The sequence below is a fragment of the Homo sapiens genome, chromosome 13 (assembly GCF_000001405.40).
Source record: "Homo sapiens chromosome 13, GRCh38.p14 Primary Assembly".
NCBI lineage: Eukaryota > Metazoa > Chordata > Mammalia > Primates > Hominidae > Homo > Homo sapiens.
Window position 1 is genome coordinate 90900504 of NC_000013.11, and position 26354 is coordinate 90926857.

Here is a 26354-nt window from a genome sequence, read left to right on the forward strand (position 1 = left end):
TCTGCTTCTGCCTTAATTCATTTAGGATAATGGCCTCTAGCTACATCCACGTTATGGCAAAAGCACTTTGGAGATTTTTCAAAGAGCTAAAAATAAATTACTACTGGTTATATGCACAAAGGAAAATAAATCATTCTACCAAAAAGACACCTGTACTCATATGTTTATCACATCACTATTCACAGTAGCAAAGACATGGAATCAACACAGGAATCCATCAATTATGGATTAAAGAAAATGTGATTTATATACACCATAAAATAATACACAACAATAAAAAGGAACAAAATCTTTTGAAATAACCCTTTAAATGTCCTTTTGAAATAATCATTTAAATGCATAGTGTTGAACATAAAGAGGAAAGGAAAGGAAATTCAGGATATAATGAAAGGAAATTAATGATATAATGATTATAAAGGAAATTAATGAATTAATGATACATAAAGAGGAAAGGAAAGGAAATTAATGCTTTTTCAGACAAAAGCAGATCAACAGAAATTTTTCCTTAGGCACCCATGGCTAGGAGTTTTATCTTTCTTAGTGAGCAAGAATTAGAGCTAGCATACCCATAGTGTAAAATGTGCTTAAGCATCTATATAGTCATTTTATATGCTATTATTACAGTGTGGTTCATGTCTTTTTAAATAATTTTATGTTTTTCTTATAAATTCAACATTTTTGTTCTCCAAATCGGAAAATCAGATAAATAATACATACTTGTTGAAAGCTGGCTCCCTGAAAAAAAAAAAAACACAAACAACCTGTTAATCACACAAAGCTAGATACACACTATCTCAGCAAGGGAGAACACTACCAAAACAGTTGTAGTAGCCTCTCGGAAAGAGAAGAACAAAGTCAGGGTATCAGTAAGGCTTGGAATCTGATTTAAGGCAGGTCTTTCATTAAGTGTGGGAGGCATGGGATGGGGAGAGAAATGGGCTTGATTAGGTTTAAAGATTATAATATACTGGTTTAAGATTGGTGGATATGGCAGGGCTTGCAATTTGAGATGAAGGAGCTTCAAATACTTTGGGGGTAAACAATTGGTTCATGTTATATTTTTGAGAGTTTAATAGCTTGATTTTTATTTAAATTGTTTTCACTATACTAATAAAGTTACTTTTTATCTTCCTAGGCAAAGTTTTCAGGATGTCAAAAGATTTAAAGAAATTAGATCCACTTATTTACATGGAAATAGTATTGCAATAAGCATAAAATTCAAGATGTAAGTTAATACTTTAAAGATAATTTTGCTAACAGACAATATATTGACGGGAAATGTGAGTTAACAACAAAATTGAAAGAGAGGGAATGATAAAATAGTAAGTTATGGTGGAAATGGCTGTTAAAAGAAAAAAGTATAAAGTCAGTTTCAGAAGGTAGTGTTCAACAGCAAAAAGAGAAAATATGAAGAGCAAAAAGCTATTATTATATATTATATTTTGCCACAAAACCCAGGACAACCCAAATCCAATAAAATAATACTGATTCAAATAAGTTCAAATGGAAGGAAAAATATTAAAGTATATTTAAAATAAAAGGTCAGTGGAAAGAATCTGAACATCACAGCAAACTAAGTGCATGTATCTTTTATGCCTTCTGCATAAATTCCCTTGAAAAGAAAAAAGATGCTTTAAAATGTATAAATCTATAATAATGCTGGGCAGCAAGAAATAGTACCAGAAGTGTAAGAAAAATATTGAACAATTCTTAACAAGAGAAAGCAGACAGGACTGGATTGACAATCAGGCAAGACTAAGAAAAGTCTCATGAAGATATGGTGTTGGGGAGAGCTGCTGTGGAGGTGGGAGTATTGTGAGATGTGTCCAAGCATCGTAATCAGAAGGGTTCTTCAGGGCTCTATGAGGCTTATTTGAGAAAATATCTTTAGGGATGCAGGGAAAACCAGCATCTCTCTTCTTGTGCTATTCTGCTAAACTGAGTGCAACCATCACACTGGCACACAAGCTAAGGCAGCCAGTCCTGGAGCCCTAAAGCCACCCAGTCCTGGAGCCCTAAAGGCAGGGCTATGCAGCAGGTCATCGATGGTCAAGAGTGAAGAACCCTCTTCCAGGAGGACACCTCTCAGGAGATAAACCATGCCACTTCTGACAGCATATATCACTCCTCTGCCCAAATCACCAAAGGTAATATTGTGAAAGAAGAACCGGCAAATACAAATAGGTTAATTGATATCTAAACAAATGAATAAATAATTAATAACAAGCATGAAACATGAAATAAAACATATTTAAAAGGTGTTCAGTTGAACAAAAACAAAAAACAAACAAAAGAAAAAACCACAAAAGAATCAACACCAAAGCAGTAGAACTAATAAAGCAAACTGAAAAAGACTGTAAGATAAGTAAAATTAATATTCTAGGAGAGACTGTGGTGACTAAGGCAGGAGGACTACTTAAGCTCAGGAATTCTAGGCTGAAGAAAGTTTTGATTACACCACTGCACTCCAGCCTGGAAGACAAAGCAGGACCCCATTTCTAAAAATAAATAAATTAATTAATTCAAAAAAAAATTAGGAGAGATTAAAGGAATTATCACATGCACAAGCTATTACAAAATTAATCAGTTAAAGGTCATGAAAAGTAAATGTATAGGTTTTGGGGATGAGGAGAAGCTACCTGTGATTAATTTAATGGAAAATAGAAATAGCTAAGGAAGAAAGTTGTATTACTATTAAACAAGCTGAAAAATCATAATTAGAAGGATAGGGCCAGGCACAGGGGCTCAGACCTGTAATCCCAGCACTTTAGGAGGCCAAGGCAGGTGGATCACTTGAGGCCAGGGGTTCCAGACCAGCCTGGCCAACACAGCAAAACCCTCTCTCTACTAAAAATATCACCCCCCAAATTAGCTTGGTACGGTGGCGCACCTTTAGTCCAGCTACCTGGGAGGCTGAGGCAGAAGAATCACTTGAACCAGGGAGGCAGAGGTCACAGTGAACTGAGATCATGCCATTGCACTCCAGCCTGGGCAACAGAATGAGGCTCTGTCTCAAAGAGAAAATAAAAAGGATAAAGTGAAAATTATATGAAAGAATTATTGAGAGACAGGAAGAGACCAGGAGCCCAATACCTTTTGCCATATTTTGGATGTTTTGTTCCCTTCAAATGTCGTGTTGAAATGTGATCCCCAATGTTGGAGGTGAGGCCTAATGGGAGCTAAGTTATGAAGGTGGATTCCTCATGAATGCTTTGGTGCCCTCCCCATGGTAATGAGTTACCAAGAGATCTATGGCTAAAAAGAATCTGGGATCCTCCACCTATCTCTTGCCCTGTGACACGCCTTCTCCCCCTTCACGTTCTGCCATGAATAAAAGCTTCTTGAGGCCTCAGGAGAAGCCAAGCAGATGCCAATGCCATGCTTTTACTGCCTGAAGAACCATAAGCCAAATAAACCTTTTTTCATTATAAATTACCCAGTCTTAGGTATTTCTTTAAGCAACACAAAATGGACTAACACGCCCATCTAAGAGAAGTGAAAGAAGTTATCAATAGAAAGAAGTTGAAGAAGATAATTAGATGAAAAAAATAAAAAAACAGAGAAGAAGATATATGAGCCTTTTAATTGAATGGGCACCAAAACCATTCCATAAAGAAAATTAATAAAACCTAAACATAATGTGATGGAAACTCTGAACGTCACAGATAAAGGAACAAGGATCTTATTGGGAAGACTCTAACTTCTCATTCAGCAATAATTAATGCTAGAAGAAAGAGAGACTATTTTAAACCTCTAGTGGAATATGAGCATAGAGTTATATTACTAGCCAAATTTTCATGATTAAGAGAGAATAAAAGGATTGTTTTAATACACAAAGCCTCAGAATGACTGCTTTCCATAAACTATGAAAGAAGATCTTAAGTATACACTCCAACTTTGTAAAAATGGATTTCAATACAAATAAAGACATGAATTTAAAAAAATTAGTGTACCAAGAAATTATTAAATGTGTTATCAAAACAATTATTAATTCTTCTAAAAATGAGAATTTATCATTGGTATTCAGAATATGCTCAATCTGAAAGGGAAAGTGATATAAAAGTAAAATAAGTGGAAATTTGCTACTTTTTTTGTTCTTTGGGAAAATCTTATCTAGTCATTGATAGGAAAACAAATAAAATAAATTAAATTATTAGATTCTAAAAGATTGTGAGATATATATATCCTTCTTGATATAACAAAACAACTACAATAAAAAGTTAATAAAATATAAAAAGTCAGGAAAGAAAAATCAATACAGAAATATGAATAATAAAGAGTAAAAGTAAGATTTGTTGGAATCAACAGTGATTATAATAAATTCGATAAATCTCCATCCTCCAAGATAGTAAACATCGAGTTGGAAAAAAAATTTGGACACAAGCTAAAATTCACCTGAAGTTAAAAGGGAGAGTAATCAGGTGGGAAAAGAGACTTATTTGGTAAATTCAGCAAAGTCAATCATGTCTGAAAATATTAAACACATGAGAAATAAAACTCAAAGAAATGCAATAAATCAAAATAAAATGAATAGCTATTTTCAAATTAAGTTAGAAATATTCCAGAGACTAAATGAATCGTGAGTGGTTTATATCAAGGTTCACCCACTCAATTACATAACAAAATACTTTTTAATTAAGTAGATAATAACATAAATTATGCAGGAAGGATAAACATGGGTAAAAATGGTGGGCATGACAATCATTGTAAAACGCCATAAAAACAATACAAAATGATTAGTTGATTCATATCTAGCTTATTGGAAACCAGTGCATAAATAACATCTGAATTATGCAAACAACAAAGTTACAAAATACATGAAGCAAAAACTAATAAAACTCAAGGAAAACTGAAATATCCAGAATGCTAGCTGGGGATTAGTGTAATATTCTGGTAACTGTGCAAAGGAAAGTATATCAAGAAGAAGAATGTGCTCAACTATGTCAAATGCTACTGATGGTTCAAGTAAGGTGAAAACTGGGAATTCACCATGGAAATAGTTACAGGAAGGTCATGGGAACCCTCACAAAAGCTATTAAATTGTGGAGAAAAAAGCCCCAGTTGGAGTGAGTTCAAGAGAAAAGTGTAAGTAGAATTAAATTAGTATAGAAAACTTTTCCAAGGAGTTTTGTAAATAGAAGTAAAGTAAAGTGGTGCTATCCAGAGGAGAACTGACATTAACAGACCCCTGAGGGGACAAATAATAAGAATAGGATTATGAGTAAATAAAATAGTATCTTTTAGTTTGTTTCTTGATTTTTAATAGACATATAATTTTAAAAATTGTTAAGACATAGTGTGTCTTGTTTCTGCTTTTGCTTATTAAAATAATTAGAGAAATAGGTTGTTTGTATACTGATGCAAATAATGATGTGAGAGGGATTTGACAATAATTAACACACAAAATCAAGTTGCCAGAGCAATGATTTTTTTTAAAGCAACTTTTTTTTTCAATTATTTTAAGTAGGTGAGGAAGGATAGAATGTGCTGCACAAGTGGATGTGTTGCTGGTAAAAACACAGGGTTTAATAATTGTAATAGAGGGAAAGTGAGGGCACTTCATCACAAAAAGAAGCCTACAGAAGTCCTAGAGCTGAAGAATTTGATGAATGAAATAAAACTACAAGTAAGGGCTTCAATAACAGACAAGACCAAGAAAAAAAGGAATTTCTGAACTTGAAGACAGATCTTTTGAAATAACACACGCAGACAAGAAGAGAAAATAATAAAAAAGAATGAAGAAGCCTACAGGATTTATGGATTTATGGGACACCATTAAGTGTACAAATATTCATATTATGGGCATCCCAGAAAGAGAAAAGACAGGAAAAGATGCAGAAAATGTATTTAATGAAACAATAGCTGAAAACTTCCCAAGTTTTTGTAGAGAGAGAAACCTTTCTTCTTTTTTGATATTTTTCTTCTTTTTTAGTGTATGCATTTACAGCTATAAACTTTTCTCTTTATACTTCTTCCACTGCATCCCATAAGTTTATGTTGCATTTTCATTTTCATTTTCATTTGTCACAATGCATTATCTAATTTTCCTCGTAATTTTTCTTTGACCCATTGGTTGTTTCAGAGTGTCCCTAATTTTCAACATATTTGTAGATTTTCAGGTTTTCCTCACACTATTGATTTCTAGTTTTATTCCATTGTTATTATAACATACACTTTGCATGATTTCAATCTTCTCAAATATGTAAAGACTTGTTTTTGGTCTAACATGTATTCTATCATAGGGAATGTTCCAGGTGCTCTTCAGGAGAATATATTGTCTGCAGTTTTGGGGTAGAGTGTTCTGTGTATGTCTGTTAGATTCATCTGGTCTATGGTGTTGTTCAGGTCCTCTACTACTTGATTGATCTCATGATTGGAAGTGATCTATTGAAGTATCCTACAATTATCGGGCTGCTATTTTTTCCTTCAGTTCTGTCAAATTTTTCTTCAAATACAATGTTAAAATTTTTGTTAAATGGTATTTTAACCTATATATAAATGGTATTTCTGCATTTGGGGTTATGATAGTTTTTTTATCATAATGATGAAGCAGGATATTTTCCTGACTTCTTTATGGGACTTGTGACATGAGTGCCCCATTTATTCAGCTTACCACTCTCAACTCCTTGCAGGAGGGAGTTTGCGAGTCGACAAGGCAGAAACTGGAGTACACGAGTGCTGGAACCAGCTGGCTGCTTTGGCACTGGCAGGAGCGAACTCCATGCACTCTGACCTGCTATGTTCCACCCCTCATGGGAGGGAGCATGCAGGTGAGTGAGTGCAGGAGCCCGGGCAAGCACTTTTAGGCACCAGCAGGAGCAAACTTGGTGCAGGTCCCATGGCAATATCTAGAGGAGGTGCATGTGACTTCTGAAGCCCCAGTAGGCATGTTACAGTGCTCTTTTAGCTCTGCCATCCACAGACAGCTTAAGTGTTAATGGCTTAGTGGGCCCTTTTGTATCCACACTTGCTCCTGAGCTCTTGTCTGGCATCCAGGAAAAATGAAGTTGCAGGAAAAAATTAAAGGATGGTAAATGTGGGGAATTTTATTGCTTGTGAAAGTGGCTCTCAGTGGGAAGAGGAGCTGAAAGAAGATGATGGGAGTGGGGAGGTGTGCAGTTAATCTTATTCTGAAGTCCAGCCATCTCTGGCTGGATTCTTCTCAGGAGTTATGCCGTCAAGCTGTCCCTCTGAAGTCAAGCCACTTCTCTCCAATGTCCAGCTTGTTCTTCCTCTCTGCCAGCTGAGTCTGGAGTCTTTATAGGCACAGGATGGAGTTGGGCAGGGCCATGGATGGCTTAGGAAAAGGCAACATTCAAGTGGGGAAAAGGGATATAAGTTCTCACTTTGGGCCGTGGTCTCAGGATTTCCAGCTTGAGGGTGGGGCTTCGCCAGGGACCCTACCTTTTTTTTTTGGATAGAATTTCTCTGCCTCCTGTCACTATTAATAAGATATCATGAATAAGAATACTTAAGATAGTAAAAAGACTTATAGACTGTTTTGGAGGCTAATTAAAATAACATTATTAATGGTTTCATAGGTTGCAAGGATAAATTATAGAGAAAATATTTTGTGCATTCATCATGCATAATTCATGTGAGAACCTGTTTACCCTAGCTCCATGGTTCCCTCTGCAGTAACTCTTCTAGGATAACACTCTAGGCCTCTTGCCCTATCCTTATACACATGTGTTCCATGGGATAGGAGTGATTTATCTGACTGTTGAATTTGGAAAAGTGGGCTTTGGGGGTTAGTCCTTCTCCCTACTTCCTTTTACAAATGAATGTATCCACCCCCTGGAGCAAATATTCTTTTTCTGCATGCCGTAATTTTTACAAGGTAGGTACCAACAAGGTAAGATACCAGAAGTACTTCAGTCCTTTCTAATTTTGGACAACGCAACTTGAGTTCATGGAGCTTTATGAAGAACTCCTTCATATAGAAGAACTGGAATTTGAACCCACTCGTGTGGCCTTACAGCTTGGCATCTTAGCCATTAGGCTACACAGCATCTGTGTTTGTGTCAGGAAGTTGTAAGGAAGACCCTATATGATAATGTAACAAGGAAGAATTTTTCCCCCTTGTATTTAATGTTAAGAGTGTAAGAGGTCTCTGTGGTGTAATTCATTGTATTTTTTGTTTATTTTAGCTCTAATTTGTATGTAATTATGCTGTAACACTTCTTACCACACCAAGAGAGAAGTCTGTTCCACTAAACTTCATACTTCAAGTTGCAGGAAAATACTAATTGAATACACATAATAGGTCAATTTTAGAGAGTGGATAAAGAAAGATCAAGGATCAGAATGTAGCAGAGGAAGGGTTTGGAGTCAAACAGTCAAAGAAACCTTATCCATTACTCCTCAAGGTATTTAATCTATACAGAGCCATAAGTAAACTAGAAATCAATATGAAACAAGAGGAAAGGGTGTTTCAAGGGAAAGGAGACCACTGGAGAATAAAGACATGAAAGGTAAGTGAAAAGGTAAGAGAAAAAAAGGAAAAGAAAGCCAGTATTCAGAAGGAGGCATCGGATAACTAAAGGATATAGATTTTATGATGAGACCCAAAGAAATACGGCTTTTAAAAATTAATCAGAGAACAGGCAATCAATGACCCTGTTTTAACCCACCCCAGTTAAATAGCATACTGAAAGTGATTTGGCCATATTCAGAGAAGGAAAGATCAACCACACAGAGCTGATCCATATATCAAAAAGAAGTCAGAAAAAATAGAACAGTTTTATTAGTGAAGAGTATAGTATTTTGAATTTTCTAAGGAACTTGCCTCAACAATATTTTAAGTGAAATAAAAGTTATTTTGTTCTATATAACAAAAATGAGTATTTCATAATATTTTCAAGGTTGGAAAACTTTAAAGTAATGATTAGTTTGATACCATGAGAACCAAATTTTTTAACATTGATATGGATTTGGTTCATGAACTATGTTCTTCTCCAACTTGAGGGTGCAATTTGAACTAGCAAATTCCCACAGGTCAATAAGGAAAACAAATATCTATGCCAGCAATAAAAACAACATTTCTCATTTTATGTTTACAGGGTTTTAACATCATAATGAAGTTTAGATCACACTTGCCCAAAATAAGTGATTATGATGCCAAAGCCCAGTGGCAAGGAAATAACCAAACAATATGCCTAAGTTGTTTTCTTATTCGACTGATTTTATAGAATGTGCTAGACCTGAAGATAAGCTCTGCTACTTGCCTTCCTGAAAATATGCTACAGATTAAATATTTTCTTGTGAGATTTTAATGAAAGACTGGTTTTAATTATATTCACTTACTATGCAAATTAGGTTTGAATCAGCCCATTCATTAATATCCTATCTGGGATAGCAAAATAAATACACCACCTAAATTTTATTAAACATGCTTAGAGGTCTGAGGTATTACAGAATGTGAATCTTTAATTATGATACAAATTAACAGATAGTCTTATTGCTTGATATAATGGTTCTTGTTACCTGATGTAAATACTTGCAAATATTGCACATATGCAGGGTTTCTTTCTTTTGTTGACATTAACAAGAAAAATCTCTTTATAAAGTTCATTTTCATTTACAATTGTAGATTAGTCCTGAACGTTTTTCCTCATTACATGCAAATCATTAATCACACAAAATGAATGCAGCATCACTTTCTGTTCTCCAGAATGATGGGCTTTGTGATGAATACGTATTATCATAAATCTTTCTAAAAGAGGTCCTAATAGCATCTGATAACTTGCAACATCAGTGAGTAAAATGTAAAGTACACTCTCTTCCACTAGCTTTTGTATCTGAAGCCATCATCATCAATTTTCACAAGGACAACTTAAAACACAAGTACGTAAATACAAAGATCCATATAACCAGTAATGCAAAACACATTTTCTCATTTTCTACCTTTTTTCTCATGAACAAGATTTCCAATGCCCTTTGTTTCTCTGTTGTTCCCCTCCTGTTCTAATATCATTAGACCCTGATGCTCAATAATTAGTTCCTTATGCCTTGGTAAAACAAATTTTCAGTATTTTTTTGTTCAGATACAGAGTATTTTCAAACATTAAATCAAAGAAAAGATGAAAAATAATTTATTTTGAACACTAAGATATTTTTATCATTGTATGACATTTTAAGGGTTTTAAATGCACTTTTTGAACCTTCCACTGACCAATTTTGATGGGCTTAAATAGTAGGATTTAGGATATTTATGTATACACTCACCATGAAACAAGCCCAGTTTTCTCATACCACCTAAGCAGTCCTGCATGTGCTCATTGCCAGGGTGAACCTGGACTCAGCATCCTTGTGAGATTATTCAAGAGAATACGATAAATATTCATAGGTCAAGACAGAAAAAACAGATATTTTTATAGACCCAAGAGCAAATAAAAACAACCTCATAAAAATGTATTATATTCACGTTTATTAAGCTGCATGTTGGAGTCTTCTAAAATAAATTTCCTTTTACAAATTATCTAATTTTGACCTCTGCATTTAAAGTCAAAATATTTTTATAAAAGGCACCATTTCCAGGAAACATTGAGATCATTTAAGGCATAATATGGAAGACACGTTCATATAAATGTCATCTATTGATTTTTGTTGTTGTGTTTCCAACTTGAGCTAATTACAGAATCACCATAAAAAGATAAAAGTGTCAGGCTCAGTGACTCACGCCTATAATCTTAGCTACTTGGAAGGCTGAGGTGGGAGGATCGCTTGAGGCCAGGAGTTTGAGACCAGTCTGGGCAACAAAGTAAGACCCTTTCTCTAAAAGAATAAAAGATGGAGATAAAATTAGCCAAGTGTGGTGGTGTGTACCTGTAGTCTCTGCTACTCAGGAGGCTGAGGCAGGAGAATCACTTGAGTCCAGGTGTTCAAGGCTGCAGTGAGCCTTGATCTCAGCACTGTACTCCAGCCTGAGTGATGGAGTGAGATCCCATTTCTAGAAAAAAAAAAAAAAAAGACATAAAAACATCAGGTTCAAAAATTTTCTACAGTTGAGATACTTAGAGCAAAATAATTGCTGAGTCTTCTACTGGGGAAAAAATACAAATAGAAAGTTATTCAAAACTCTCAAGTGTTTCATAATTATTATAAAATAGTAATAATTTTCTGAGTGCCTATAACTATGATCCTAGCACTATTTAAGCTCTGACTCCATTGACCTCTCCAAATCCAGATAATATGTGAGGTAGGCTTTGAAACCCCATTTTATAAATCAGCAAAATGAATCTCAGGGCTTATGTAGTCATGCTGTATTAAATAATTGGCCAAGGAAAAAATCAGAAATCAGCTTCGTCTGTCTTCAAACCCAGCTTCTTCCAACATATGCCTTTGTATTGCTTATCTTCATTTCTCCTTGTTTTAAATTTTAAGAGGTGGTTTTAGCTTTCTTCTACAAATAGACATGAAAGGTTAACTCAGATATATAGTAGATAAACAGCTTAGGAAGATCTACAGCTGACCAATTCATAAGGATCACATCACAGCGGATATTTTGTGTGTTTTATATACCATTATATAGAAATTGATGTTGAAAAAATTATACTACTGCTTTCAATGTCATCAATTTTTAATATACTAAAAATATGTAATAATAAGTAAAATTGATTTAAATGTATTGTATTACAATTAATTTTTATCTGCAATTTGTATCTTCAGTTGCATAAATTTGTATCTTCAATTGACCCTAAAGATTTTCCAAGGAACAATGAATTACGGTAAGTATTGCTAGTATCATTTTCTTATCTATAATGAATATGTTAAATGTAATTTGAGATCTTTTAAAAATACATTATAAAACTATATATAATATTATATGTGTGGATATGAGCATACATCATGATATATATGTGTGGATGTGTGTATATGTCATAGTGTATATGTGTGTGTATATATATATTTATACATATATGAGATAAATGTGAATTTTAGAAATTGTGAAAATCTATTGTGTGTCTTGTTCCGCAGCTCAACTCATCCTTCCAAACTCATTCATTAAGTACATGTGCTTACCATACATACAGATTTTAAAAACAGTTAAAATCAGTTATTGTTCTTAGATATATTATGAACAAGGTATATTCCTAATTTAGCTAAAAATGTTGCTATGTTATAAGATCAAATATTTTTAAAAAATAATTTTAACTTTTATTTTAGGTTTAGGGAGTACTTGTGCAGTTTGTTACATGGGTATATTTCGTGATACCAAGGTTTGGGGTACAAATGATCCTATCACCCAGGTGATGAGCATAGTACCTGATAAGTAGCTTGTCGGCCTTTGCCCCCAACCCCCTCCCCTTCCCCCTAGCAGTCCCCAGTATCTATTGCTTCCATCTTTATGTCCATATGTACCCAACGTTTAGCTCCCACTTATAAGTAAGAACAGGTAGCGTTTGGTTTTCTGGTCCTGCATTAATTGGCTTAGGATAATAATGATCGCCAGCTGCAAAGGATATGATTTCATTCTTTTTAATGGCTGCAGAGTATTTCATGGTGTATATGTAGCACATTTTCTTCATCCAATCCATCATTGGTGAGTACCTAGGTTGATTCCATGTCTTTGCTATTGTGAATAGTGCTGGGATGAACATAAGAGTTCATGTGTTTTTTTGGTACAGTGATTTATTTTACTTGGTGTGTATACCCAGTAATGGGATTGCTGGGTTTAGTGGTAGTTCTGTTTTTAGTTCTTTGAGAAATCTCCAAACTGCTTTCCACAGTGGCCAAACTAATTTACATTTCCACCAGCAGTGTATGCATGTTCCCTTTTGTCTGCAGCCTTGCCAATATCTGTTGTTTTTTGACTTTTTAATTATGGCCATTTTGACTGGTGTAAGATGGTGTCTATTGTGATTTTAATTTGCATTTCTTTAATGTAAAATCAAATCCTAAATTGATATTAGTAATAATATCAACAGTAATTATGTAATGAAATAAGAAAAAAATGGAAACTTAGTAAATATATAGGTTTTGAAACATCAGGAACAAGAATTTATGAAGTGTCATACAAGTAATACACTACTGTAGTGATGATAATTAAGTGGCAAATTCTACACAGTTGATTGTCACTCAGGGAATTAGTGCTGTTGCAAGTGCTATTATGTTTCTAGTCTTGGACAAGGTACTTGAGGGTCTATCAATATATTAAGGATTTCTGTGAAGTGAAATGGAAGTAGTTTCCACCGGTTTCTTCCATCTAAAGTCACCTAGCCAGGGATAAAGTAGAGAAGTTGTACGCCTGCTTCTTTATTCTCATGAATAATTGAACAATAGCCTTGGGTGGATTTGCAATGTGCAACTCAGCTTAAGCTGCCTGAAACTCTTCTCAAATTTGTTCACATACGTATCTGTAATGACAGAGGAGGGTGGACACTTATCTCTAGGTGTTGGAAAATGGGGCCCCCTGAGGCCCAGGAAGCATTGTATCTATCTCAAATATATACACTTCTGTATTTGCAATATTTTATATTTGCCTAATGTAACCAGTTTTAAAATATCATCTAAAGCCTTAATCTCTTCTAACTTCACTATTGACACTTTGGGAGAATACACCTATGAAAATTCATAAGTGAGAAGTATGATCTTAAGGTTCATCTTCAGATATCTTAAAGTCTTGAAATTTGGGTTTTCCAATGTTTATTAATTAACCTTAGTTTTTATAATTCTGATACAAAATGTAAACATTACAATGTAAAATGTATGTTTTTAAAATATGAAGTACTCCTGAGGATATTTTGGATTTAGGGGTAAAATTTTATCTACCTCGTTGAATGACATGTTTTATGTATATGGGCTTTATTCTGAATTATTTGATTGAAATGGTTTTTATAAAAATCATCTAAACTCAGAGAAAAATTACTAAAATACTTATATAAATATATTTTTAAATGAGATCTACAGGCATATTTGAAATCCACATAACTTAAAGTCAGCTAAGTCATTTTCTTGTTTTCAGATTTTAGTTAATCGTGGTGCTATTATGAGGATACTTGAGGAGGAACTGCAAATTATAAATCTTAAATTTTCATGTTTTAATATATATTTGTCTTACTATTTTTTTCATTTTGGAGGTCTCCATGATCCGTGCTTATAAGAATTTTCTTAAAAATGTGTTATTCTAAGCACTAGTCAGTGGCAGACGATAGTATTAGCTATGCTAGTACTCACATGTAAATTACATTTGTTCTTTAAACTTTAAAAACAGTAAAATGTAGCCTTTTTCCATGCTTTTGTTGAATTCTGTATTTTAAAACGCTAATGGGACCTTTAAACCTGTTCGTAATTTTTAAGTGCTCTGATGGATATTCTGCATGGAGATTATTTAAATGAATTAGGCTGTTTAATCCCCTCTGTATTTAAAATAGTAGATTGTCACCACAATATAATTTTAATTTCCACTGTATCCATTGAAATAAATGCAGAATTATACCACTCACATCAGGCAATAAGGGGGTTGTCTTTTTCATTTTTTTTTCTTTACAGCTTCTAAAATATGGGAGACCCTCATTAATTCAACCAGTAATTGAACACCTGAAGACTTTCTGCTAGGTCTTGGAGAGATAGAGATTTTGTTTTTCCTAAAGAAAAGCCCAGTTTATTATAGAAAACAGGCAAATTCCAGACATGGAAGGTTACCTAACAGTAACTTACCCTGTTACACAAGATGGGCATCTCACATGATGTGGCACTAACATAAGTCTCATGGAAGTTGGAAACAGAAATCAGAGGAAAGCTAGCCCACTGTGCATGGTAGTTCACTACACAACCAACAGAACAGCACATAGTGGACAGAGAGGAAGGCCATTTCACACAGAGGAAATGAAACCTAAACTTTCTGCCAAAGTTCAAGGAAACACATTAGCATTTTGTTTTGGAGTAATGGGGCGAATGATGTGATATTATTTTCATTTTAGAAAAGTTAGTAACAGTTGAAAATAGGTTAAGAAAGAAGCAGGAGCCAATAAGACCAATCCAAAGTCTGTTATATATCAAGTAGAAATGGCAAGGACCTGAATCAAGAAGTGATACTGGGAAAGAAGGGTGCTGAGGATATATTCTAGAAGAAGACTGGATGGCCTGTTGAGGCAGGGAAGAAGAGTGAATAAAGAATGTAGGGTGTGCTTCATTCTGGCTTGACTAACGGGGCACATGGTGGTTGCCTCCACTGAACTGGGATAAAAACACATTGAGGGTCTTGTAAGATTGCAAATGATGAGCTTCATTTCAGTCACGTTGAACTGGAGGTATTTGTAGAATATGCAAGTGTTTGGAGAAGCCCAACAAGAGGCTGGATGCATTGTTGTAAAATCAAGAAAAAAGATATGTCCTGGTGGTATAAATTTGGTGGTCATAACGGTGACAACTGTAGCCAGTGACATCGCTGAGATATACAAGAGATATTATCAAATGGGAAAAAAATGAGGGCAGAAGGCAGAACCTTAGATGACACTACATTTAAGCTCCCGATAAAAAAGAATCAACTGTGAAAGAGAATGGAATGTATGGAAGCTCTTTTTTTTGCACCCGCCAGACACTTCTTCCCTGAACAAATGAACACTGTCAACTACACAGAATTTCCAAGGAAAGATGTCCATTTATTTCAGTGATGCTGTCATTGCTCAAAACACTTTATTTGGTCCTCTTTCATCTTACCTCTAGACCAGCAGCATTTTCTTTTTAATATCTTCAGTGTTGGCAAAGCTTTATTTTTTGACAATAAGTGTGTTTTTTTAGAGAGAACTCAGATGTCAAGAAGATCTAACTACCTAGTAATGATTCTTATTTCACCTCAAGTGCATTATAAACTGAGTGTGAAAGCAATTTCAATGAGAGGAGTTATAAAAATTAAAAGCCATGTTTTAATCATCTTCAAAAGAGTATACATTCTGCCAGAGACTTTTTGAAAAATGTTTAGTAAGTTTATATTTTATAGAAATAGAGCCATGCCTTATACATTACTATCTTAAATAATCTGACCTCTAAATATTTCTGAATCTACACAATTTAATGTGGCTTCTATTTTTTATACAAACCTGTCAACTGTCTTATAGAGATTAACGACTCAATGTAAATGCAGACCTTATTTTAAAGTTGCATTAAAATTCTTACTTGCCTTTACATCTTCAGACATTACTTTATTGCTTTTGCACTACCAGTTAATCCTAATTTGCAAGAGTTTTCTCTTTTATAAAGACACTGAAAAGTGGATATGTCACCTGTTCTAGTAGTTAATACCTCTCAGCAACCTTTTTTTCTTATTTCTCCTTTAAATTCTCTCCATAGCTGTCACTTAAAGGCATTTACAATGTAATTCGTGGTCGGCAGGGCACAATGTTTTCAGCACTTTGGGAGGCCAAGACGGGAGGATCGCTTGAGTCCAGGAGGTCAAGACCACCATGGGTAACATAACAAGACCCAGTCTCCACAAAAAAAAAATAAAAAATTAGCCTAGAGCAGTGATTTGCACCTGTAATCGCAGCTACTAGGAAGACCGAGGCAAGAGGATCACTTGAACTTAGGAGGCTGAGGCTGCAATGAGCCATGATTGCATCACTGCACTCCAGACTGAGTGACAAGAGCAGGACTGTGTCTCAAAATAATAATTAATAACCCGTCTCAAAATAATAATAATAATAATAATTTGAGGTCAATTTAAAATATATTTTTTTATGATGGAAACACTAAAAAATATAGATCACCTATATTATGTATCAAAATAACAACAAATTGTGTTCAATGATGACAGTAAAATCAAGTGAGTTATGGTATCCACTTTTGATCCACTTATGAAACATAATATGTTTGAGACAGCACTGTACTGAATATCCCTAAACTTGTAAATAAACTAGTTAGATAACCAAAGTATTGTTTTCTCATTATCATGCAGTATTAAAAAGTTTTGTGGATGATATTTAGGATTCCTGAAATTTGAGGCACAAGCTTAGATCAGGCTTATAATCCTGGTGCTCTAACCTTACACTCTTAGCACATAGAGTCTAGATATTGCTATTATGAAAGGTCATTACACTATACAATGGGCTTCTTAATTTTGAATAGATGTAAAATTAATTTCTAGGAAAAATATCTATTCCAATTTTTATGTTTGCCCTTATTTTTATTTTGTCATGTAAACATTGGTGGAATTCAGCTTATTAAACATTAAGAAACTTTTTTTTTAGTGTATGACTTCAAATGTATAATGTACCTAGAACTTTCTCATTAGTGAAAAGATGATTGCTAAATGTAAGATTTAAGGTTAATAAACTACTTGGTAACCTTATCATAAAGTTTAGATATAACATGTTCTCAAGTCATGAGGGATGTTTAGCCTTGTAAATTATTCTTGATGAGTTGAAAGATTGGACTATTTTAGTGCTAAAACCTCTACTAACTCCATGATGTTATTATTGCTCCTCACATTACTTCAGACTGAAACTGTTAGTATTCATTTCAACCTCTGTTTTTTTTTCCAAAACCCCATCCCATGCTAGGATACTCTTATACATTAATTTAACTGTCATGCTTAAACTCTGTGAACTTTTGGATTATGTCTAATTCATCTTTTTGCCCTCGTAGAGCATTCAGTACAATCCTCTAAAATCTCTCCTGCCAATCCCTTTTCACACACACACAAAAAGAAAGGCAAAGAATGAGTGAGATTCTGGTGCCAGTTACTGGTGAGTTGTATTTTCTCTAAATCACTGGATACTTGATTGTGATAAAACTTCAAGCTTCAACTCCTTGTGCTGCACACTTACATATGTTTCTGGACCCATCATGACTTGTGACTTCTCTTCTGATTGTCCATCTCTGAGTGTTAGATGTCATTCCACAATCTATTCTATAAATTAAGCTATAGAAATTCTATAGACTATTCCATAGTCTACTAGAATTTTTCTAACACATCATAATATGTTACACAAAAAAATACTCCCACTACACATGCTAATCAGATGTACAGCCCTTCAATGACTGTATAGTCATCAGAGCCAACAATTTATGTATGTTAATAAGGTCAAAGTGTCTGCCTCCATATAGTCATCAAATGAAATGCTGTGATTAGAAACATCCTGTAGACATCTGTACAATGCAGCAATGAAGGAATAAAACTATGTGGGATGAAGATATTTGGTACTCGTATTTTTCTAAGTTGAAAAGCATGAGCTCATGGCTTATTCACTACTGGATACTGAATGGAGGAAAGTGAATGACTCAGCACACTTAAGTTTGCATGTGAAGTGCTTAACTCTGGGAACACTAAATTGCAGAAGCAACTCATTACATAGACAGCATTTTTAAGGTTTCTTAGGTCAAACAATTCTAGCCCTTTGGTAAATAAGTAGCAAACGGGATCTTATAAAAGAAGAAATTGGAAGATGAATAAAGCAACTACTATTTGTCAAGCTTACCTTATATGCTAGGCATCATGTTAGTTTCAACCAGATTATTTCAACCAGATGTTCCTCAGACACACATATTAACCCCATCATGGGGTAGCACACAGCCAGCCAGGGACTGGTTTAGATTTCTTCCAGCTTATTAATGTAATTTTTATTTTCTTTTGAAGTAAGTATTCCAGTTTGGAATTGTTCTCTTGTCTTTCACAGTTATTGAAACTTCAGTTTGCATTCATCCCTCAGCAATCACTTATCCTATTTTCCCATGTCCCCAAGTGAGAGACACTGTACTCAACTGCAATTCTACGAAGCCGTTTGACCTCTGTATAATCAGATGGAATACGTTATGCTTTGGGAACAACTCTCAAATTCACAGCAGCTTATCTCAACAAGAACTTCTCCTCTCATAATACAGGCCCAGCAGGAGCTAAGAGTGGAGCACACAATCACTTGGGGACCCAGCAGGACACAGACCTTCCTCCAAAGAAGCTTCCATGAACATTGCAGCAGCAGAAGAGAGGGCTGGGTGGTATTATCATGGCAATTAAGTGCTCCCATCTAAAGCTAGACATATTCCTCTGCTAACAGCTCACTGGACCAGCCAGTCAATGGTTATGTCTGGGTTCAAGGAGAGTAAGGAAGTGCAATCCTGCCTTAACGCATAAAGAGGAGCCCTCATTTGCCTTAATCTAGACTACACAACCATTGAAACGACTAGGGAGCCTACCCCCTCCCCGCCCCCGCCCACACACAGACATGCCTACCTGCCTACCTTCTTTCTGCTTCTCCTTTCCTTCTCAACTCGGGGATAAAGAATCAGATGTATGTTACATATGATTGTCTCACTTCTCACAAAAGGCCATGAAGGCCGAGAGTGGTGGCTGACACCTGTAATCCAGCACTTTGGGAGGCCTAGGTGGGCAGATCGCTTGAGCTCAGGAGTTTGAGATCAGCCTGGGCAACATAGCGAAACCGTGTCTCTACAAAAAATACAAAAAATTAACCGGGCGTGGTGGCAGACGCCTGTAGTCCTAGCTACTCTACAAAAAATACAAAAAATTAACCGGGCGTGGTGGCACACGCCTGTAGTCCCAGCTACTCGGGAGGCTGAGGCAGGAGAATGGCGTGAACCCAGGAGGCGGAGCGTGCAGTGAGCCGAGATCGAGCCACAGCACTCCAGCCTGGGTGACAGAGCGAGACTCCATCTCAAAAAAAAAAAAAAAAAAAAAAAAAAAATTAACCTGGCTTGGTGGCACGTGCCTGGAGATCCAGCTACTGTGGGTCCTGGGGCTGGAGGATTGCTTGAGCATGGGAGGTCCAGGCTGCAGTGAGCCAAGATCACGCCACTGCACTCCAGCCTGGGTGACAAAGCAAGACCCTGTATCAAAAAATAAAACACCATGAAGTAGGTATGAATAATCTGCACTTCACAAGTGACAGAACTGAGACTTCTAGGACTCCAGCGCCTTACACATCATTGTGCACATTTGGGGTCCAGCCTTCGACCCCAGATCTTTTGGGCTTAAAATCTTCAGTGAGTATCCAATTTCTGTAAGAAAGTTTTTACATTCTTCAATAAGCTATGCACAGTCCTCCAAGACTTGCTTTCCCATCACTCTCACGAGTTAGTTTGTATTGCCCTCAGCCTTCAAGCCTTACTGTACCATCGCAAGGAACCTCCTGTGATTTCTTTGGGCTTCATTTCTTTATCCCTTTGCTCATATGGCAACTCCACTTTTGACTCTCCTTGGTCTTCCTGAGAAACACTAACCTGATTTTAAGTTGCAGTTCATGAATTCGTGCCTTCTAGGAAGGCTTTTTAAATTTTCACTCTTACACCAAAGTTAAATCAGTTATCTCTTCATTTTATTTCCATTGTACGCTGCACACACTTTTATGGAACTAATTTTTGTCGTTTTTACTGTCTTTTGCATGTCACTTTTATACTCAGGGTGCCTTGGGGATACCTCTTCTTCATTTTTATAACTGAGCATCTCTGTGTCTGTGTTGGTGATTAACACATGGGCTTTTATTAAATGTTGAATGAACGCAGAATACACATGTAGCAGCGCCTTCAGGCATATACTCTGGAGCTCGACTGTCTTAATTGAAATCCTACTTCTACCATTGCCATTGTCTGATATGGCCCAGATTAATTTCTTTGTGTTTCAGTTTTTCTTCAGTAAAAGTAAGGTAATAATATGATCTTTCCATTGTTGTGTCGGTGTTATTTTTGGGATTAAAGAGAGCGTAATAAGGGTTTTAAGGGAGTAATTGTTAAAATCAACATCTCTCTCCAGTTATTTGGAGCTATTATAAATCTATGTCTTTAGATCAGACCTATTGCCATTTGCAATAGGTCTGATCAATAGGTGAAAGTTGCAGGGAACTGGATGGATAATTATAATTATATTGCTCAATTAATGCATTCAGAAGTAAATATCTAAGTTAAATGTATTAAATATATAAGTTAAATGACAAACTTATACTAAAAATACAATTTGGGCCCACAGATTGGATGGTTCAAATATTTTTTTTTCTGGTTTGCTCTCTGTTCATGTGGAATTAATTCCTTTTGTAGCAGAATGTATCCAATACTAACAGATATGAAAGAGTTAAACCACAACCCTTGAACTATAAGGTTAAAAACTTAGAATTTTCTCCCCATTCACTGCAGCTGTAGATAAGAAACAGCCGTAAAAGAAAGGAAAAGTGCTTGAGTAATGAAGAAAGTTATTTGGACTGGAAGATATCATTTTTTTTTCCTGTCTAACATTAGAATGTTCTTTTAAAAAAAGTTTCAAAGGAACAGCATAAGCTTTCATAGATATTTTCAGGCATTCTGTCACTTGAAATTTTACTTCCTGTAGTTTCTGCATTATGTGAGTTGCTTAATAGCAGTTACGAATATAAATAAAAATAAGAAAAACAGATATAAATATATATTTGTCTATACACCTCAGAAAGAATGCTTGTTACATAAGACTGAATTTGGGGTAACCAAAAAAAGAAAGAAAGAAAAAACTTTCTGTCCAAGGCACAAGAGTATGGACCAGGCAATAATACAAAAGCAGAGAGAAGGCTTTAAAATGAGTGAAGAAGCAAATGAGATAAGGACAGCTATGCCACTCATATTTCTAGCTAATATTCCCCCAATCCACAGATAGGTTGGTGGTTAATACTAGAACCACATTTTAGTAATAACTCTGTGTTAGCCAGAACATAACACAATGTGATTGTGAGGACTTAGGTTAGCCATTGGTAAGCTGCCTGTAGTAGATTTTGATGAAATCTACTACAAAATCTATGATGAAACTCATCATAGATTTTGATAAGTTTTCATTTAACAATTTTTTTCAGTCTTACATTACAAAACTCTTTCTTAGATCATTAAAGGTAGGTTTTAAACTATGGGAACCAGCATTATGTATGCTCAATAGTTATGCTTTACAGTTTGGTTTCTAATAGGGACCAAATTTTACACTCCGAACACCTAGTTTTAGAATAGCTAGAACTTTTGGTTTGGTACCTACCCTAACATTGGATACAATAGAATTTATTTCTTGAAATAAATGAGCATGCGAATTTAAAAATGTGAAAGGAATTTGGAAACAGTAATCAATTTACTTCACATATGTCACTAATTTGAGATAACAGGAAAAATTTAAAATAATTATTTTGACACAAATTGTTCAATGCAAGGAAAATAGAAGTGCTGTGGATATGGCCATTGCTTGTATAATATTTCTTTTTTTATTACCCAGGACCCATTGATTTGTACTAGAGATAAAATTTCCCCATCTATTTATGTCAATAAACATAGTGCAGAAAATACATATATATATATATATATATATACACATATATATATATATATATATATATATATACATATATACTCAAATTACTAATGTTCATGTAACAGCACTATTAATATTAAAGCTTTAAGGTATGCTCATTCTGGAATTTCCATTTTATTGTCTCATTCTCATCACATATGATGATGATTCTTGAAGTTCTTGAGTCACTGGCATGCTACAAGTGACACTTTTGTGCGTGTGCCCTATGAGCAAATCCTGCAGGTAGAGAAACCCTCTTAACTGTGAGAGAACCGTTCAAATTAAGGTAACAAAACTTTATTTAATGATTTCTTTTTAAAAACATATATTTTGAGAGCAACTACCCAAACCTATCATCTCTTAATTGCGTTTCTCTTAAGTCATTAGAAAAGTTTTTACAGCAAAAATTTTAAAGTTACAAAATCGGGGTAAATATCATCCAGTTCTCTGCCTTTTGATTTGACTTACTTATCTCTTAAGTTCAAATAGTTATTGAAATTGGATTCAATATATGTGTCTCAAACATTTACTTTTTTAAAACTCTGGCCTTACTGAAAGATTTCCAAAAGGCAATTTGGATTTCCACTCACTATATCTCTATGACTAAAGTCTCTCTAGTGAAATGTGAAATGAGGATCTGGAGAGAAACAAAATTCATTTTATTATAAATTAAATATTTCATGGGCTGCCCACAATGAAATTGAACTAAATCTTATCTAATTTTTCTGTGTAGTCTAACAAACTAGACTTTAACAAGTGATCAAAATGTCTTGCTAAAGAATTTGAAGAGTTTAAAACACAAATGTAAGAAATTGATAAACATATTTAGCATCAAATTAAAAATCTCCCATTGGTGTTCAGTTTTCCTAAAATACATCTTACTGTTAAAATTATAATTTTCATATGTACAAGCCAGAAGGCAATTCTTGCTTAAAGAGCACAAAGTTTAACAAAATCCATTGAATCTATTTAGGTTTTCATGCTTTGTAAGCATTCTAGAGATTATTCCTTTTATTTCATAAATTATAGATATAGGTGGATTTTTCAGTGCTTTTTTTCTTTCCTCTCTGTTTAATGAAAATCAGAAAATGTAGAATGTGCCATGATGAAATCTTTCATTTGGGGGAAAAAAAGCTAAATCTAATATGGCTTGATCCATTTGAGGAATTTGCATTGGAATGATGAATTATTATGTTAAATAAATTCTGGATTTTATAGCTATAGGCTCTTAAAAAATGATAGAAAATGCTTTAGGAAATCTGTCACCTTCAAATGCGTTAAAATGTTTGTGGATGCTACTCCTAAGAGAATGATTCAAACGTTTTTAAATAAAGATGTACCTGACACTTCAATAGCATGAATAGAATCTGAATTTATGAGCAACACTAGATTATAAAGAAATGCCCACTTACTCATTTCCTTAAACATTGGCAACATTTTAAAATGGCAATTCCAATTATATATAAAACCTTTCCTGGCTTTTGAAATCATACGTGATATCACAATCATCCAATTTCCAATAGGACATTGTATTTCTTTCACATACCTCTCACTTAACATTGTGACATGTGCTTACGTGTGTACCTGTCTCATCTAGTCTTAGGTATTATATTTTACCTCCTCAAACATGAGGAGTAGCATTTATCCTTTTTTATAACTCGCAGTGTGTGGCAGTGTCCTACCTTCAGTGAATGTTCAATAACTTTTTCCAGCATCAAAGACTGGAGGAAAAAATTATCGAAATTCTGACTGCTGCCCTGGAGAAAATAGAATGTAACTCCCTGGTAATAATCCTCCACGTCTAAAGTAAGAATTGAAGCAAAATAACTACTTGACTAGGAGGAACCCAAACAGATAGAAAAGCCATGTCATTTACCTCCAAAAGTGCTGTGTGCGTGTGTGTGTTTGTGTCCAACTCAACTAAGGAGTTTTTATTATTCAAAATACAAATAATCACTCTCCCCACCCCATGGTTCTTTGTATTTTGAAAAGATGGGGAAGGCTGGTGGTGAAAAATCAGAATGTGTGTATTTTGAAAAAGTTCCCTGAATGAGTCTAAAGTCCATTACTTCTTCCCTTTGTCCTAGAAATTTGACATATTATTATTTAATTAATTAATAATATGAAAATTATAATATATCTCCTATTAAGAACTAATTGAATGCAGATTGTCTAGAAGTAATCCAGTTTTCCTATGGATTCCTGTGGCCTTGGTCAACAGTGTAAACCTTCAGTGTATACTAATGTAGTTACATCCTTGACACATACATTGATATAATATACAAACATACACTATTAGAGTGGCATGTAGCATTTGCAGTCCTCAACTATCAAGGTCCTCATGGCTATACACAAGGTAAACCCATTGGAGCAGATATGGTAAAAACTCACAGGAGAAGCACCTAATTATTATAATATGAATTAAACCAAATACAAAAAAGTAAAATACTTTGATTTAAACATAAAAAAATTTAAGAATGCAAAGAAAACGACATGACCCCAAAGAACAATGTTAAAATAAAGGTGATACAAACTTTGATTCAAATATGAATGAGATTTTTGTCATATTATCCCACCAATTTGCATACCTAAAAATTCATGTTTAATTTCAAAACTCTTTTCAGTTTTTGTGACTGTACAATATCTGTTCAAGATACTTATGTTAACAAATCGGTCAGTCAGTCAAATAAATAGTCAAAAAAACAGAAAAGAATTTGAATATATTGATGAACTACAACTCCATAGAGACTATGCTAGGTGCTTTGAAATGTCATGTTTCATGTAATCCTGCCAACAAGTTAAACAAGCCCATTTTATAGATGAGAAAGCTCTGGATCCGGGGAGTTGAAACACAGATGCACAATTTCATTGACCTAATAGCAACAGACTCAAAATTGAAAACCAAGTATGAATGCTCTAAAATGTTTATTCTTTTCACTATTACTATATATCAAGGGTTTGAATGTATGGTCCATAGGCTGAATCTAGACTGCTTTACCCTATGAAGTAAGAATGGTCTTATATTTTTAAATAATTTCTTAAAAATGCAAAAGAATACTATTTCCTGACACATTGAAATTCAGATTTTAAAGTCCATAAATAAAGCTTTATTGAAACACAACCAAAACCACTTATTTAAGTCTTGCCTCTGGCTGTTCTTGTTTTTTGTTTTTTTGAGACTGAGTCTCCATCTGTCACCCAGGCTGGAGTGCAGCAGCACGATCTCGGCTCACAGCAACCTCCGCCTCCTGGATTCAAGCGATTCTCCTGCCTCAGCTCCTGAGAAGCTGGGACTACAGGCATGTGCCATCATGCCCAGCTAATTTTTGTATTTTTAGTAGAGATGGGGTTTAGCCATGTTGGCCAGGCTGGTCTCGAACTCCTGACCTCCAGTGATCCACCCACCTCAGCCTCCCAAAGTGCTGGGATTACAGGCATGAGCCACAGCACCCAGCCACCTCTGGCTGTTTTCATGCTACAGCATTAGAGTTGAGTATTTGCAAGGGAGATTGCATGGCCTACAAAGCTGAAAGTATTCATGAGCTGACTCCTCACAGAAAAAGTTTGCAGACCCCAGGTATATATTTTTACCTCCCCATTAATGCATGCTTGTGGTCATAGAAGTGGTCTAAACACAAAGTGTATCCACAAAACAGAAAGACAATTTTATTCCAAAACTACTGATGAGTAATGTTTTTAAAGAACAGTAATGCATCAGAAGGACAACTCACCCTGCATTTTCCTTTCCATACAATTTAGAGTTCATTGGCTTGAAAGCTTCCTTGAAGTCTTGCAGCACTTAATACATGCACGTATTAAACCTCTCAAGTTTACTTGGCCCGAGTGTTGTGTAAAAGATCTTGGAAGCAATTTATCACAGAAGAATTTGTCACTGATTAACTCTTTTTTAGATGTGTTGTGGAGTAGTAAAGTGAAGTCAAGGGTGATAATGCTGACAGGGTATTTACCAAGTGGTGGAGAATCTGCCAGCTGGTGCTAAAAGGATTTGTAGTCTTGCCACATCATGTCCTTTTCTGAAGCCCAACCCTATACACCCCCCCACCCCAGTAACCAGTTTCTGTGGAGTCTAAAGCTTATAAAATTTGAG

At 35.0% G+C, this 26354-nt stretch overlaps 1 long non-coding RNA gene across 1 annotated transcript in view; it reads right to left on the reverse strand.

Moving 5' to 3' along the window:
* Window positions 1–26094, reverse strand: part of LINC00410 (long intergenic non-protein coding RNA 410) — a 35644-nt gene extending 9550 nt beyond the window's left edge. Inside the window, exons 1-4 of the long non-coding RNA NR_027039.1 lie at window positions 25978–26094; window positions 10828–10951; window positions 2891–3007; window positions 718–735 (exon numbers count right to left, since the gene is read on the reverse strand). This is a non-coding gene — a long non-coding RNA (long intergenic non-protein coding RNA 410). The remainder of the gene's footprint in view (window positions 1–717; window positions 736–2890; window positions 3008–10827; window positions 10952–25977) is intronic.
* Between the last annotated feature and the right edge of the window lie 260 nt (window positions 26095–26354).